Source organism: Homo sapiens, chromosome 22 (genome assembly GCF_000001405.40).
Source record: "Homo sapiens chromosome 22, GRCh38.p14 Primary Assembly".
Classification (NCBI taxonomy): domain Eukaryota; kingdom Metazoa; phylum Chordata; class Mammalia; order Primates; family Hominidae; genus Homo; species Homo sapiens.
The window spans coordinates 40,725,422-40,740,615 of NC_000022.11; the positions used below are offsets into that span (position 1 = coordinate 40,725,422).

At 46.1% G+C, this 15,194-nt stretch overlaps 5 annotated features.

Annotated features, from left to right (window-relative positions):
- Nucleotides 2,600-3,324: an enhancer, noted in NCBI's record as "NANOG-H3K27ac-H3K4me1 hESC enhancer chr22:41124025-41124749 (GRCh37/hg19 assembly coordinates)". NCBI's record gives its function as "activates a minimal SCP1, AML or CMV promoter by ChIP-STARR-seq in primed H9 embryonic stem cells {active_cell/tissue: H9 hESC(primed)}" and the evidence as "EXISTENCE:reporter gene assay evidence [ECO:0000049][PMID:30033119]".
- Nucleotides 3,325-4,048: an enhancer, noted in NCBI's record as "H3K27ac-H3K4me1 hESC enhancer chr22:41124750-41125473 (GRCh37/hg19 assembly coordinates)". NCBI's record gives its function as "activates a minimal SCP1, AML or CMV promoter by ChIP-STARR-seq in primed H9 embryonic stem cells {active_cell/tissue: H9 hESC(primed)}" and the evidence as "EXISTENCE:reporter gene assay evidence [ECO:0000049][PMID:30033119]".
- Nucleotides 3,376-3,455: an enhancer, noted in NCBI's record as "active region_19098". NCBI's record gives its function as "activates an Ori minimal core promoter by ATAC-STARR-seq in GM12878 lymphoblastoid cells {active_cell/tissue: GM12878}" and the evidence as "EXISTENCE:reporter gene assay evidence [ECO:0000049][PMID:35858748]".
- Nucleotides 3,526-3,575: an enhancer, noted in NCBI's record as "active region_19099". NCBI's record gives its function as "activates an Ori minimal core promoter by ATAC-STARR-seq in GM12878 lymphoblastoid cells {active_cell/tissue: GM12878}" and the evidence as "EXISTENCE:reporter gene assay evidence [ECO:0000049][PMID:35858748]".
- Nucleotides 5,894-6,052: a silencer, noted in NCBI's record as "fragment chr22:41127319-41127477 (GRCh37/hg19 assembly coordinates)". NCBI's record gives its function as "represses an EF-1alpha promoter that drives an FKBP-Casp9 reporter gene in an ReSE screen in K562 erythroleukemia cells {active_cell/tissue: K562}" and the evidence as "EXISTENCE:reporter gene assay evidence [ECO:0000049][PMID:32094911]".

Here is a 15,194-nt window from a genome sequence, read left to right on the forward strand (position 1 = left end):
GCCTACCAGATCAACGAGAGATGTCAGAATTTACCAATGTCAGAGCCATAAAAATGTTTTTTTCGAAATGAGTAATTCACCTGTTACACTAAATATGGGCCTCCAGATGTCACAGTATCACAGTGCAACAGTTAAGTCTTTGTTTTTTATTTTATTTTTATTTATTTATGTATTTTTTTTTGAGACAGAGTCTCGCTCTGTCGCCTAGGCTAGAGTACAGTGGCGTGATCTTGGCTCACTGCAACCTCCGTCTCCCAGACTCAAGCAATTCTGCCTCAGCCTCTGGAGTAGCTGGGATTACAGGCGTGTGCCACCATGCCTGGCTAATTTTTGTATTTTTAGTACAGTCGAGGCTTTACCATGTTGGCCAGGCTGGTCTCAGACTCCTCACCTCAGGTAATCCGCCTGCCTCGGCCTCCCAAAGTGTTGGGATTACAGGCGTGAGCCACCGCGCCTGGCCAATTAAGTCTTGTTTTAAACATGCCATTGGTATGACCGTAACCATCATTTTTTTTTTTTTTTGGTATGCAATGGTAGGGATTTTTTTTATTGTAAACTTGCTTCATGAATTACGCCTAAATCCCTTAGGTGAGGGCCACAGGGAAGTTTCCCTCTTTTAGGAAACCTAATATCATATAAATCAAGACTTCTAGCCACGCCAAGGTAAACCATTAGGGATGCTTGATTTTGCAAATGTGTTAAAGATATGGGCTTGGGAAGAAAATACTTTCCCAGCTGGGCACAGTGGCTCACGCCTATAATTTCAGCACTTTGGGAGGCCAAGGTGGGTAGATCACCTGAGGTCAGGAGTTCGAGACCAGCCTGGCCAACACGGTGAAACCCTTGTCTCTACCAAAAATACAAAACTTAGCCAGGCATGGTGGCACGCACCTGTAATCTCAGGTACTCGGAAGGTTGAGTCAGGAGAATAGCTTGAGCCCAGAAGGTGGAGGTTGCAGGGTGGCAGTGAGCTGAGACCACACCACTGTACTCCAGCCTGGGCATCAGAGACTCTGTCTCAAAAAAAAAAAAAAAAAAAAAAAAAAAAAAAATATATATATATATATATATATGTATGTATGTATCTATCTATATATATGTATGTATCTATATATATGTATGTATCTATATATATATATGTATGTATCTATATATATGTATGTATCTATATATATATATGTATGTATCTATATATATACTTTCCATTTTTTTTCCTACTCGTGTGAAAGAGACCGTGAAAGTGAAAGGAAAAGAAGATGGTCCAATCGCAAGATAAGCAGGCCCTGTAGACAAAGCAGACAGTTCAGCTACTAATGCAGTGTGGAAGGAGAGCCCTAGAGGCCAAGCACTAGTAATAAACTCAACACTTTCTGAAATTGCTAGGATCTGAATGAGGAATAATTGTGAGTGAAGAAGCCAGTGTGCTGGCTGTTCAGAGATAAGTGATTTTTTCTTTTTTCTTTTTTTTTTTTTTTTGAGATGGAGTCTCGCTCTGTTGCCCAGGCTGGAGTGCAATGGCACAATCTCGGCTTACCGCAACTTCTGCCTCCCAGGTTCAAGCGATTCTCCTGCCTCAGCCTCCCGAGTAGCTGAGATTACAAACATGCGCCACCACGCCCAGCTAATTTTTTGTATTTTTAGTAGGGTCGGGGGGTTTCTCCATATTTGTCAGGCTGGTCTTGAACTCCGGGCCTCAGGTGGTTCACCCGCCTCGGCCTCGCAAAGTGCTGGGACTACAGGCGTGAGCCACCGCGCCTGGCTGCTAAGTGATTTGTAAGCTAAGACATACTCTTAAATTCCTTCAAAGCAAGGGAAGCAGTGACTGTTTTAAGAACAAATACTGTCTTTGAAATTTGAAATACAGGATAGACAGGGGCTCCTTAAACCTAGTAATCCTTTTGTCTCTTTTGGTCCATCTCAACCACAAACCAAGCAAACATGCACATGCTTGTCAAAAACAAGTCAATTATTTTGAAAATCAATTAAATTATTCATACCCTTTGAAATTTCAAAGGAAAGTCGAGAGAGAGAGAGAGAGAGAGAGAGAGAGAGTCAGTTAGAAGTCACGGGTATTGAAGTGCTTATTAGTTAAATCGGGTTCTTTGTCTCTCTACTTTGCTAATGGCTGATCTTTTGACTTTTCTGATGATTAGCCCTGGCTATCAAGTGAGATTCCATGGGGCTTGGTTTGTTCATACTCTTCTGAGTGACATTTTCCCCATTCTAATAGCCTAAAAGCATAATGAGGTAAATGAATCACAAGTGATAATGAGTTTTTTAAAAATCTAGGCAGGAACAAAACTGGCTCATTACCATGAAGAAGTAGCATTCTGATGAGGACAGGAAATCACTGAGGAACAGGAGAGAATGCATAAACTACCACTTATGTGTATTGCTAATGATATGCCAGACACAATTCTAAACACTTACATGACGGTCTCATTTAATACCAATGCAAAAATTCTACAGATGAAGAAATGGGGACTCAGAGAGATTAAGTAGTTTGCTTAAGGTCACACAACTAGGAAATGACCAAATTGGCATTTAAATGAGACAGGCTGGCTGAAGCCTGGACTGCCTCTGCCTTTTTTTTTTTTTTTTTTTTTTTTGAATCAGGGTCTCACTCTGTCACCCAGGTGATCACGGCTCACTGCAGGCTCGAACTCCCAGGCTCAGGTGATCCTCCCACTTTGGCCTCCCAAGTAGCTGGGACTACAGGAGGGCCACAATGCCTGGCTAATTTTTTTTTTTTTTTTTGAGATGGGGTTTTGCTATGTTGCCCGGTCTGGTCTCGAACTCCTGGGGTCAAGTGATCTGTCCACCTCGGCCTCCCAAATTGCTAGGATTACAGACATGAGCCACCGTGTGCAGCCTGCCTCTGTCCTTCTGAAAAAAAGGTAATGGCAAAGGCATGGGGGAAAAGTTAAACATGTTAAAGAAAAGGCTGTAGATATTTCCATATGCATGTCGATTCATGTAGTAGCTTCCTAGCACTTCGGTAACAACCATAACCCAGCGGCGTTGGTGGTACAGTAGCGAGCATAGCTGCCTTCCAAATAATCATAACTTTGGTGGGATTTTTTGTTGTTTTTTTTCTGAAACAGGGTTTCGCTCTTGTAGCCCAGGCTGGAGTGCAGTGGTGTGATCTCGGCTCACTGCAACCTCCTCCTCCCAGGTTCAAGCGATTCTCCTGCCTCAGCCAGTCGAGTAGCTGGGATCACAGCTGCCTGCCACCACACTCAGCTAATTTTTGTATTTTTAGTAGAGATGGGGTTTCACCATGTTAGCCAGGATGGTCTCGAACGACTGGCTTCAGGTGATCCACCCTGTTGGGGTGATCAGACCCAACACCAGGCTGTGGGGGCAACGAAGTCCGGGGGAGTCAAAGGAATGAGACAAGACAAGTTAAGAGTGAAAGTGGGACCGCAGGCCAACGCTAGTATGGAGGCTGCGAAGGCCCTGAGCGCTGGGAGCCCGAGCTGTTTATTGGTGATCAAAGAAGCAGGTGGTGAGGATGTGGGGGTTGAAAGGAAGCAGTGCATCAAGCGCATGATCTATGGCCGTGACGGTTTAGCATTTTGTTTGAAGCATATGGAACATGTTCTGCTACTTGAGATAATGGGAGTGATAGAAGCAAGGAGCCTGCAAGTCTAGACACATTCCAGAGGTCACGAGGGTTTTTATGCCCTGAGCCCTGGATTCCATCCAAGCCACGAGAGCTTTTATGCCCTGGGTTTAGATTGTGGTGTGGCGGGGCAGCCTTCCACCCTTTAGCACAGAGCTTGGTGTTCCAAAGGCCACGAGGGGTTTTAGACCCTGGACCCCAGACATGTTCCAAGACTCTTTTACATTATGTCAGACATGCAAGCCCTGCCTCAGCTTTTTTCCCAACACTCAGCTTTTACCCAACATACCCGCCTCGGCCTCGGCCTCCCAAAAGTGCTGGGATTACAGGTGGGACCCACCGTGCCCAGCCCCACTTCAGTGGTTTAAAAGAGCAGATATTTTCTCTCACACAGTTCTGGAGGCTGGAAGTCTGCAATCCAGGTGTCAGCAGGGATATGCCTTAGGGGAGGAGCCTTCCCTGCCTCTCCCAGCTTCTGGTGGCGCCAGGTGTCCCTTGGCTTGTGGCTGCATCACTCTCATCTCCATCTCCATCTTTACATGGGCTTCTGCTCTGTGCGCCTCTCCTCCATGTGTCTCTTATAAAAATATTTGTCATTGGATATAGGGCCCACCTGTATAATCCAGGGTGATCTCAAGATCCTTAACTAGATCTAAAAGGACAACCTTGGGAGGCATGGTGGCTCACACCTATAATCCCAGCACTTTTGGAGGCCAAGGGATCGCTTGAGCCTAAGAGTTTGAGACCAGCTTGGCTAACAGTGAGACCTCAACTCTATTTTATTTAAAAAAATAAAATAGGGCCAGCCATGGTGGCTCACATCTGTAATCCCAGCACTTTGGGAGGCCGAGGCAGGTGGATCACAAGGTCAGGAGATCAAGACCATCCTGGCTACATGGTGAAACCCCGTCTCTACTAACAAATACAAAAAAATTAGCTGGGTGTGGTGGCGGGCACCTCTAGTCCCAGCTACTCGGGAGGCTGAGGCAGGAGAATGGCATGAACCCAGGAGGCAGAGCTTGCAGTGAGCCGAGATCACCCCACTGCACTACAGCCTGGGCAACAGAGCAAGACTCCGTCTCAAAAATAATAATAAAATAAATAAAATAAATACAATCTCTCCTTATACACAGTTTAATACAATCTGTCCTTACACGCAGTTTAATGGCTACTACTGCTTTCATTCTAACAACTGTAAGACTCTCAACATCTTCTGAAAACTTGGCTGAAAAGTGATATTCTTTCTTTCTTTATTTTTGATAGGATCTCTCTTTGTTGCTCAGGCTGGAGTGCAGTGACACGATCTTGGCTTATTGCAGCCATGATTTCCAGGGCTCAAGTAATCTTCCCACCTCAGCCTCCCGAATAGCTGGGACTATAGGAACACCACCAGGCCTGGCTAATTTTTGTATTTTTTTTGTAGAGATGGGGGTCTCACTATGTTGCCCAAGCTAGTCTTGAACTCTTGGGTTCAAGCGATCCTCCCGCTTCGGCCTCCCAAAGTGCTGGGATTACAGGCATGAACCACAGCACCTGGCTGAAAAGTGATATTTAATATATTAATTTCTGTTTTCTCCATTGTATCAATGAGAAAATTAATTATCTTCAGGACCACTGGATCCTCACCCCCTCGTCATTTTCTCTGTCAGAGGCAAGTCAAGAACTCTGCTACCACTGGGGCAGGATCCAGTCCTGGGGTTGGTGGGGTGGAGTTTGCCTGCAACAAGAAGTTGTGATTTTTTATAAAATTGCAGAATCTATTGTTATAGGAGGAGCTTTGCTTTAATGGTTTTTCAGTTTGTCCCTTTACTTACCATAGGGATTCCTTCTGTTGCCAGTCCCTTGGGGGCAGGGACTGTGTCTTCCTCCCTGTATTCTGAGCCCTGCATAGGGCCTGGCCCTTGCATAGGTGTTCAATCAATGTGTCAAATACATGAGTGAATGGACAAGCACACCTTTTCTTTTCTTTCTTTTTTTTTTTTTTTCTTGAGATGGAGCCTCGCTCTGTCGCCCAGGCTGGAGTGTGGTGGTGTGATCTCGGCTCACTGCAAGCGCCGCCTCCCCGGTTCACGCCATTCTCCTGCCTCAGCCTCCCGAATAGCTGAGACTACAGGCGCCCACTACCATGCCCAGCTTTTTTTTTTTTTTTTTGTATTTTTAGTAGAGACGGGGTTTCACCGCGTTAGCCAGGATGGTCTCGATCTCCTGACCTCGTGATCCACCTGCCTCGGCCTCCCAAACCTGCTGGGATTACAGGCATGAGCCACTGCACCTGGCTTTTTTTTTTTTTTTTTTTTTGAGACGGAGCCTTGCTCTTGTTGCCCAGGCTGGAATGTGTGATCTCAGCTTACCGCAACCCCTGCCTCCCGAGTTCAAGCAATTCTCCTGCCTCAGCCTCCCGAGTAGCTGGGATTACAGGCATGTGCCACCATGACTGGCTAATTTTGTATTTTTGGTAGAGATGGGATTTCTCTGTCTTGGCCAGGCTGGTCTCGAACTCCTGACCTCAGGTGATCCGCCTACCTCGGCCTCCCAAAGTGCTGAGATTACAGGCGTGAGCCACCACATCTGGCCTCGAGCACACCTTTTCTGGTGCACGTAAAACTAGGTCGGGTTCTTAGGGACTGAGTCACCTGACTAACACTAATCAAATACACACAAACAAAACCACAAACTGCTCTGTCAAGCAGGATGTCAGCAGTTTCCTTTGCATGAAGGAGGGTGGGGAGGGGGTGTTGTAAGGTGGGTCTCCAGAATGATGGAATAGGGTCGCTGTCGGGAAGAGGCTGAAAACATTACTGTGATATTTTGTCTTATAAAATTCTTTTTGGTTTTTTTTTTAGAGACAGGGTCTTGCTCTGTCACTCAGGCTGGAGTGCGGTGGTATGATTATGGCTCACTGCAGCCTCGACCTCCTGGGCTCAAGTGATTCTCCTACTTCAGCCTCTTGAGTAGCTGGGACTATAGGCGAATACCACCGTGCCTGGACTTTTAAAATGTTTTGTGGGCCAGGCGCGGTGGCTCACACCTTTAATCCCAGCACTTTGGGAGGCTGAGGCGGGAGAATCACGAGGTCAGGAGTTTAAGACCAGCCTGGCCAGCATGGTGAAACCCCGTCTCTACTAAAAATACAAAAAATTAGCTGGGCGTAGTGGCGGGCGCCTGTAATCCCAGCTACTCAGGAGGCTGAGGCAGAGGTTGCAGTAAGCTGAGATCGTGCCACTGCACTCCAGCCTGGGCAACAGAGTGAGACTGTCTCAAAAAAAAAAAAAAACGTTTTGTGGAGATGCAGTCTCATTATGTTGCCCAGGCTAGTCTTGAACACCTGGTCTCAAGAGATCCTCTCGCCTTGGCCTCCAGAAGGGCTGGGATTCAAGGTGTGAGCCACCACACCTGGCCTGGTTTATAGGATTCTTGTATAAATTCTCTGTGGGCCGAGCCTAGACTAGAATATTGCCCAACTTCCTTTGCACAGCAAAATGGATTTCATAGGATCAATTAAGAGTATTTGGACCAAACAACTATCTCTCTTACTTTGTTAGCCTGGATTGCAGGAGTCACAATTACTTACAAGTCAAAAAGATGAGGAGAGGGCTGTGGCAGTTGTGGTCTCAGGCCTGCAGCAGCCTTTTGCAATATTGAGTTACCCTGCGGGCTTTGTGAACTTGGAATCACAGACTCCTCCGAGGTTGTGCCTCAGCCTCCCCAAAACGTGAGAGGCGAGGGCAGAGCCTACTTACCTTTCACCTCCTAGCACCTGAGCCGGAGCACCTGGTTCACAGTAAGCACTCAATCTGTGTGTGCTGAATAAACAAGAAACTGCCTGTTCCTGCCTCGGGGCAGGACGCACCGCCCTAGTGACTGTAATACTCTCCTCCACCAGATTTGGCAGCTCCCCTCCCTTACACAGCCCTGGGGAATTACTGCTCTTTTCTTTCTTTGGTGTCCTTTCTCTAAAGTGCAAATAGTTCCTTCTGGACACACGGTCTGTCTGCAGCCTGCCAGTATCATTCACCCTTGCTTGCTTTTACCTTCTGTTTTGTCTTCCTGAGACAACATTCTTGTAACAATTCCAGCAAAGTCAAACTTTTTTTTCTTTATTATTACTTTTTTTAATCCACTCTTGCACTCTCACCCTTTACTCTCTCTCTCTTTTTCATTTCTTTTCTTTTCTTTTTTTTTTTTTGAGACAGGGTCTTTTTGTCACTCAGACTGGAGTGCAGTGGCATGATCTCCACTCACGGCAGCCTCAATTTCCTGGACTCAAGCGATCCTACCGCCTCAGCCTCCGGAGCAGCCAGGACTACAGGCGCTCAGCACCACGTCCGGCTAATTTTTGTATTTTTTGTAGAGATGGGGTTTCGCTATGTTGGCCAGGCTGGTCTTGAACTGCTCACCTCAGGTGATCCACCCGCCTCAGCCTCCCAAAGTGCTAGGATTATAGTTGTGAGCCACCCTGTCTGGCCTCTTTATTTTATTTTACTTATTTCTTTTCCTAATCTCGAGGACCTGTGAAACAAAATCCTACTCTGATTTAGAAGATACCAGGTCCTGCTGGGCGTGGTGGCTCATGCCTGTAATCTCAGCACTTTGGGAGGCCGAGGTGGGAGGATCACTTGAGATCAGGAGTTCAAGATCAGCCTGGCCAACACGGCGAAACCCCATCTCTACTAAAAATACAAAAATTAGCCAGGCGTGATGGCATGTGCTTGTAATCCCAGCTACACAGGAGGCTGAGGCAGGAGAATCGCTTCAACCTGGGAGGCGGAGGTTGCAGTGAGCCGAGACTGCACCACTGCACTCCAGCCTGGGTGACAGAATGAGACCCTGTCTCAAAAATAAAAATAAAAAATCTCCTGAGTTTTACATCTAATGATACAGAAGGGCAAAAGACACAGTTGGGGCAGTAGGGGAAGGGGAACCATCTTTCAGTTATTTCAGCAATGTCCCCAGGTATTTTGAACCACAGTGAAGAAGAAAGAAATCAACAAAGTCAGCGCTACCCCTGCCACACCATTGGCTACACAAGGTTACAGTTTCTATAGCTACAAGCCTGTCTCTTAGGGAACGCAACATACCACAGAGTGGCCTCCCTAGAAAGGCCACTTAGTCATGTGAAATGTAGATCTCTGCTGAAACAGAGATGTTTTCCCTTGGAATTTACAGTTAATAAAGTGACACTCAGTAGTGTGAACGTGACAGAACGGGATACAATAAGAGAATGAATCTGCTTCCCTCAGATGGAAATAAACAGGCTGGACTGTGATGACAGCCAATAGAAAACACAAAGCCTGGCCAGGCGCCGTGGCTCACACCTGTAATCCCAGCACTTTGGGACACCGAGGCAGGCAGATCACGAGGTCAGGAGTTCAAGACCAGCCTGACCAACATGGTGAAACCCTGTCTCTACTAAAAATACAAAACTTGACCAGGCATGGTGGCGCACACCTGTAATCCCAGCTACTAGGGAGGCTGAGGTGGGAGAATAAACCCGGGAGGCGGAGCTTGCAGTGAGCCGAGATCGTGCCAGTGCACTCCAGCCTGGGCAACACAGTGAGGCTCCATCTCAAAAAAAAAAAAAAAAAAAACGAAAACACAAAGCAATTATCTGTTCATTGTGATACGATGTCAGCTGTTGGACCTGGCGTGCTTCCAGAATGAGCTTGGAGATATGCTGGAGGATTACAAAACAAAACCCCTTACAGATCAGGACTCAGAGCAACAGATTTTTGTTACACGATCAAACGATAAGAATACCATTACTATACCATAATATATTCTCATTTCTCTTGCACTTTCTTGCATATTATTGAATTTATTTATTTAAAAACATATATATATATATACAGAGAGAGAGAGACAGATGGAGTCTCACTCTGTTGCCCAGGCTGGAGTGTAGTGGCGAGATCTTGGCTCACTGCAACCTCCACCTCCTGGGTTCAAGCAATTCTTCTGTCTCAGCCTCCCGAGTAGCTGGGACTACAGGCGTGTGCCACCACACCCAGCTAATTTTTGTATTTTTAGTAGAGACAGGGTTTTACCACACTGGCCAGGCTGGTCTCAAACTCCTGACCTTGTGATCCGCTCGTCTTGGCCTCCCAAGGTGCTGGAATTACAAGCATGAGCCACCGCGCCTGGCTATTTATTTTTAATTTCTTTAAATTTAATTGAATCCTCTAACATCCTTCCAAGATTGTTACGTAAAACACCCACTGTATAGGAGAGAAAACTAGGCCAGATGTGGGGGCTCATGCCTGTAATTGCAGCACTTTGGGAGGCTGAGGCAGGAGGATCACTTGAGCCCATGAGTTCAAGACCAACTTGGGCAATAAAGTGAGACCCTATCTCTACAGAAAAAAGTTAGCCGGGTGTGGTGGCACATACATGTAGTCCTAGCTACTCAGGAGGCTGAGATGGGAGGATCACTTGAGCCCAAGAGTTCAAGGTGCAGTGAGCTGTGATTGCACCACTGCACTCCAGCCCAGGTGACAGAGCAAGACCCTGTCTCAAAAAACAAACAGATTAAAAAAGCAACAGAAAAAAAAAAAGAAGAGAAAACAAGCTTCAAAGATGTGACACAATTGCCAAAAGCCACCAGACAGTCAAGTAAAGAACGAAGGAAACAACTAAATAGGACTTGACCCCAGGTCTCCTGAGGCCACACCCAGGGAGCTTGCTACTTGAACCAGTGATGATTTAAAAAAATAACTCGGCCGGGCTCAGTGGCTCACGCCTGTAATCCCAGCACTTTGGGAGGCCAAGGCAGGCAGATCACATTCAAGACCATCGTGGCCAAGATGGTGAAACCCCGTCTCTACTAAAAATGCAAAAAAATAGCCGGGCGTGGTAGCACGCACCTGTAGTCCCAGCTACTCAGGAGGCTGAGGCAGGAGAATCGCTTGAACCCGGAAGGCGGAGATTGCAGTGAGCCGAGATCGCACCACTGCACTCCAGCCTGGGTGACAGAGCGCGACTCTGACTCAAAAAAAAAAAAAAAAAAAAAAAAAAACAACTCACATTCCTCTCTGAACGCTTGGAAGAGCAACTTGGATGAAATTATTACACCCAAGCAAAGATCTTGGGTGTAATCACAGAGCTCACATGGAGGACCATGTGAGAGGCTTTTACAAACCTCAGAGCCCTAGGAAAGCTCTCTGGACCATTTATCAAGAGGAATCAGGCTTTTGGCATTTTTGAAGAAAAAGTAATAAATGACATGCTAAGTTTATGAGAAGATATTTTTTCCCTGAATTTATTCTCTTTCCCATCGGAATTAAATTCTAATATTCATACAGAAGCAACACATTTGTTCCTAAGTCAAATAAAGAACCCTATCTAAAGGCATAAAAAACCGTTGAATTATAGCAGAGGCATACAAAATAAAAATTTTATAGTTCCCCCAACCTCACTGGAGGACCTCTGCCATAGCTAAGAAAAATAGCCAACACTTTCAGAGCACTTAGCTAGGCTGGGCGCTGGTCTGTACAGGAATTTTGACTTTTTTTTGAGACGGAGTCTCGCTCTGTCGCCCAGGCTGGAGTACAATGGCGTGATCTCGGCTCGCTGCAACCTCCACCTCCCAGGTCCAAGCAATTCTCCTGCCTCAGCCTCCAAAGTAGCTGAGATTACAGGTGCCTGCCACCAGGCCTGGCTAATTTTTTGTATTTTTAGTAGAGACGGGATTTCACCATGTTGGCCAGACTGGTCTCGAACTCCTGACCTCAGGTGACCCACCCACCTCAACCTCCCAAAGTGTTGGGATTACAGGCGTGAGCCACTGTGCCTGGCCTGAATTTTAACTCAATTAATCTTTCCAAAAACCCTACAAGGAAGGAAGCATTACCATCTTGACTTTACAGATGGGAAAAATAAAGGGATACAGCTTGCCTGAGGTCACACTACTAGTACGTGGTGGAGCTGAGACCCGGGCCTGGGCAGCCTTGGGGCCAGTCCCCGCTCCGAACCACTAGACCGAGTCTGAGATGACTTTGATCCTTCTTCCTGAAGGGAAACATTTGGACAGAAGAATTCTGGGTTTTCTCCCTAACCTCTATCCTCCGCCCCACTCAAGCTCCTAATTTTGTGAGACGTAGAGATCCCCAGTGTTCACTGAGCTATACCAACAATGGGGAATGCTCAACGCCACTAGTCATTAGGGAAACGCAAATCAAACCCACAATGAGATACGCCTCACACCAGTCAGAATGGCCTTCATTTATTTATTTGTTTGTTTGCTTATTTATTTATTTTTAAGACAGAGTCTTACTCTGTTGCCCAGGCTGGAGTGCAGTGGCGCGATCTTGGCTCACTGCAACCTCCACCTCCCGGGTTTGAGCAATTCTCCTGCCTCAGCCTCCCGAGTAGCTGGGATTACAGGCTCCTGCCACCACACCTGGCTAATTTTTGTATTTTTGGTAGAAATGGGGTTTTGCCATGTTGGCCAGGCTGGTCTCTAACTCCTGACCTCAAGTGATCCGCCCGCCTCAGCCTCCCAAAGTGCTGGGATTATAGGCATGTGCCTGGCCAGAATGGCCATTATTAAAAATTCAAAAAATAATAGATGCTGGCAAGGTTGCAGAGAAAAGGGAATGCTTATACACTGTTGGTGGGAATGCAGATTAGTTCAGCCACTATGGAAGCAGTCTGGAGATTTCACAAAGAACTTAAAATACAACTACCATTCAACCCAGGAATCCCACTACTGGGTATAAATCCAAAGGAATATAAATCATTCTACCATAAAGAGACATGCACGCATATGTTCATGGCAGCACTATTTACAGTGGCAAAGACATGGAATCAACCTAGATTTCCATCAGTGGTGAACTGGATAAAGAAAACATGGTATGGGCCAGGCATGTTGGCTCACTCCTGTAGTTCCAGCACTTTGGGAGGCCGAGGTGGGGTGGATCACTTGAGGTCAGGAGTTCGAGACCAGCCTGGCTGATATGGTGAAACCTCACCTCTACAAAAACACAAAAATTAACCGGGAGTGGTGGTGCGCCCCTGTAATCTCAGCTACTCGGGAGGCTGAGACGGGAGAATCACTTGAACCCAGGAGGCAGAGATTGCAGTGAGCCGAGATTGCAGTGAGCCAAGATTGCGCCACTGCACTCCAGCCTGGGTGACAGAGCAAGATTCCGTCTCCCAAAAAAAAAAAAAAAAAAAGAAAAAGAAAGAAAGAAAACATGGTACATATACACTATGGAATACTACACAGCCATAAAAAGAATGAAATAATGTCCTTTGCAGCAATATGGGTGGAGCTGGAGGCTATTATCCTAAGTGAATTAACTCAGGAACAGAAAACCAAACACCACATGTTCTCACTTATAAGTGGGAGCTAAACATTAAGCACACGCTGACACAAAGAAAGGAACAACAGACCTAATTGTGGGTGGAGGGTGGGAGGAGAGTAAGAATTGAAAAACTACCTACCGGGTATCATGTTGACTACCTGGGTGACAAAATTATCTGTATACCAAACCCCCATGACACACAATTTACCCATGTAACAAACCTGCACATGAGGCCAGTTAAAGTGGCTCACACCAGTAATCCCAGCACTTTGGGAGGCCGAGATGGGAAGATCACCTGAGGCCAGGATTTCGAGACCAGCTTGGCCAAAATGGCAAAAACCAGACTGGCCAAAATGGCAAAAAAAAAAAAAAAAAAAAAAAAGAAAGAAATACAACAGTTAGCCAGGTGCAGTGGCACATGCCTGTAGTCTCAGTTACTCAGGAGACTAAAGCATGAGAATGCTTAAGCCTGGGAAGCGGAGGTTGCAGTGAGCTGAGATCGCACCACTGCACTGCAGCCTGGGCAACAGAGCAGGACTTTGTCTCAAATAAATGAATAAATAAATAAAAGTTGGAAAGAAAATAATTATGCTTTCAAAACCACTTCATAACATGGGGAGCTGGATATGTTCTGATGTAGAATAACAAACAGACGCAACTGTGCTTATTACACTGATTTAAATGATATACATCACAATCGTGGTTTTATAGACATACACTGTGCACAGACAAATAAATGAGGAATACATTAAATATTAACAATGGTTGTTTGGAGGTGGGAGAACTGTGGGTGGTATTTTCTTCATCCATTTATCTAACTGATCCAAGTTTTCTTCAGGGAGGAAACTTGTATAAATGAGGGCATACAGGCCCGGCGCGGTGGCTCACGCCTGTAATCCCAGCACTTTGGGAGGCCGAGGCAGTCAGATCGCTTGAGTCCAGGAATTCGAGACCAGCCTGGACAACATGGTGAAACCCCATCTCTACAAAAAATACAAAAATTAGCTGGGTGTGGTGGTGTGTGCCTGTAGTCCCCGATACTTGGGAGGCTGAGGTAGGAGCATTGGTTGAGCCCAGGAGGTGGAGGTTGTAGTGAGCTGAGATTGTGCCACTGCACTCCAGCCTGGGTGACAGAGTAGACACCCTGTCTTCAAAAAAAAAAAAAAAGGGGGCAAAAATTTTAAATCATGTCACGATTGGGAGTAATTTAGGCAAAACTTGCCTGGGAGCAAGGAGTATAGACTAGAAAATTGTTTGAAGTTCATGCTTTTGTAACAAGGGCCGGTTCTAGAATTTGGCATCAGATGGGTAGCAGCTTTGGAAGGAAGCATAAGAAAGGGACACACGAGGACTCCACACAGCCCCAATTGTCACTTTCCACCACCACATATCCTCTTTAATTCTGAGAGTATTCAAAGGAGTTTAACCATTCAGTGGATGATACAATTATCACAGTGGCATAGCCAGTTGTCCTGTTAACAGCCATCACATGTGACCCTGGGGAGCCCAGGCTTCTTTCGTGGTCAGACCTAAACCTGCTGAGAGAGGGTGGTTTCATGTTAGTCACTGACAGAGCACATCTCCAGCTCTCACTGTGGAATCCAAGTTTTCCTTTCGCCTTCCTGCCTCATTTGGTTCTGCCCATTTGCTTGGAGCCAGAAAGGGAAAAGGAAGAACACAGGACATCCTCTCCGCTCTGCAACTGACCCAGGTCTGTCTATAACACCTCCTGACAGTGCCCAGAAATCCTCCTATTTAAACCATTGGCCCCTGATGCGATTTCTTTTCCAAATATGCTCATAGATCATTGCAGAGACAATGTTAAACTCGAGAGCATTATCATCTGTATAAATCAGTCTCATCTTTAACCGTAACTCAGAGCTTCCATGTAGGAATACGCACCGAAACACAGGCTACCGTCTGCGTTCTCATGGAGCTTACGATTTAGCTGCACTGATAGGATATTTACACATGAAGAAATAACAATGTAAGAAAATTCATAGACACTAATTTTTAGGGACAAAGCAAACGTCTTTTTTTTTTTTTCCAGACTGAGTTTCTTTCTTATTGCCCAGCCTGGAGTGCAATGGCACGGTCTTGGCTCACTGCAACCTCTGCCTCCTGGGTTCAAGCGATTCTCGTGCCTCACCCTCCCAAGTAGCTGAGGTTACAGGCACCCACCACCATGCCCAGCTAATTTTTTTCTGTTTTTAGTAGAAACAGGGTTTCACCATGTTGGCCAGGCTGGTCTCGAACTCCTGACTTCAGGT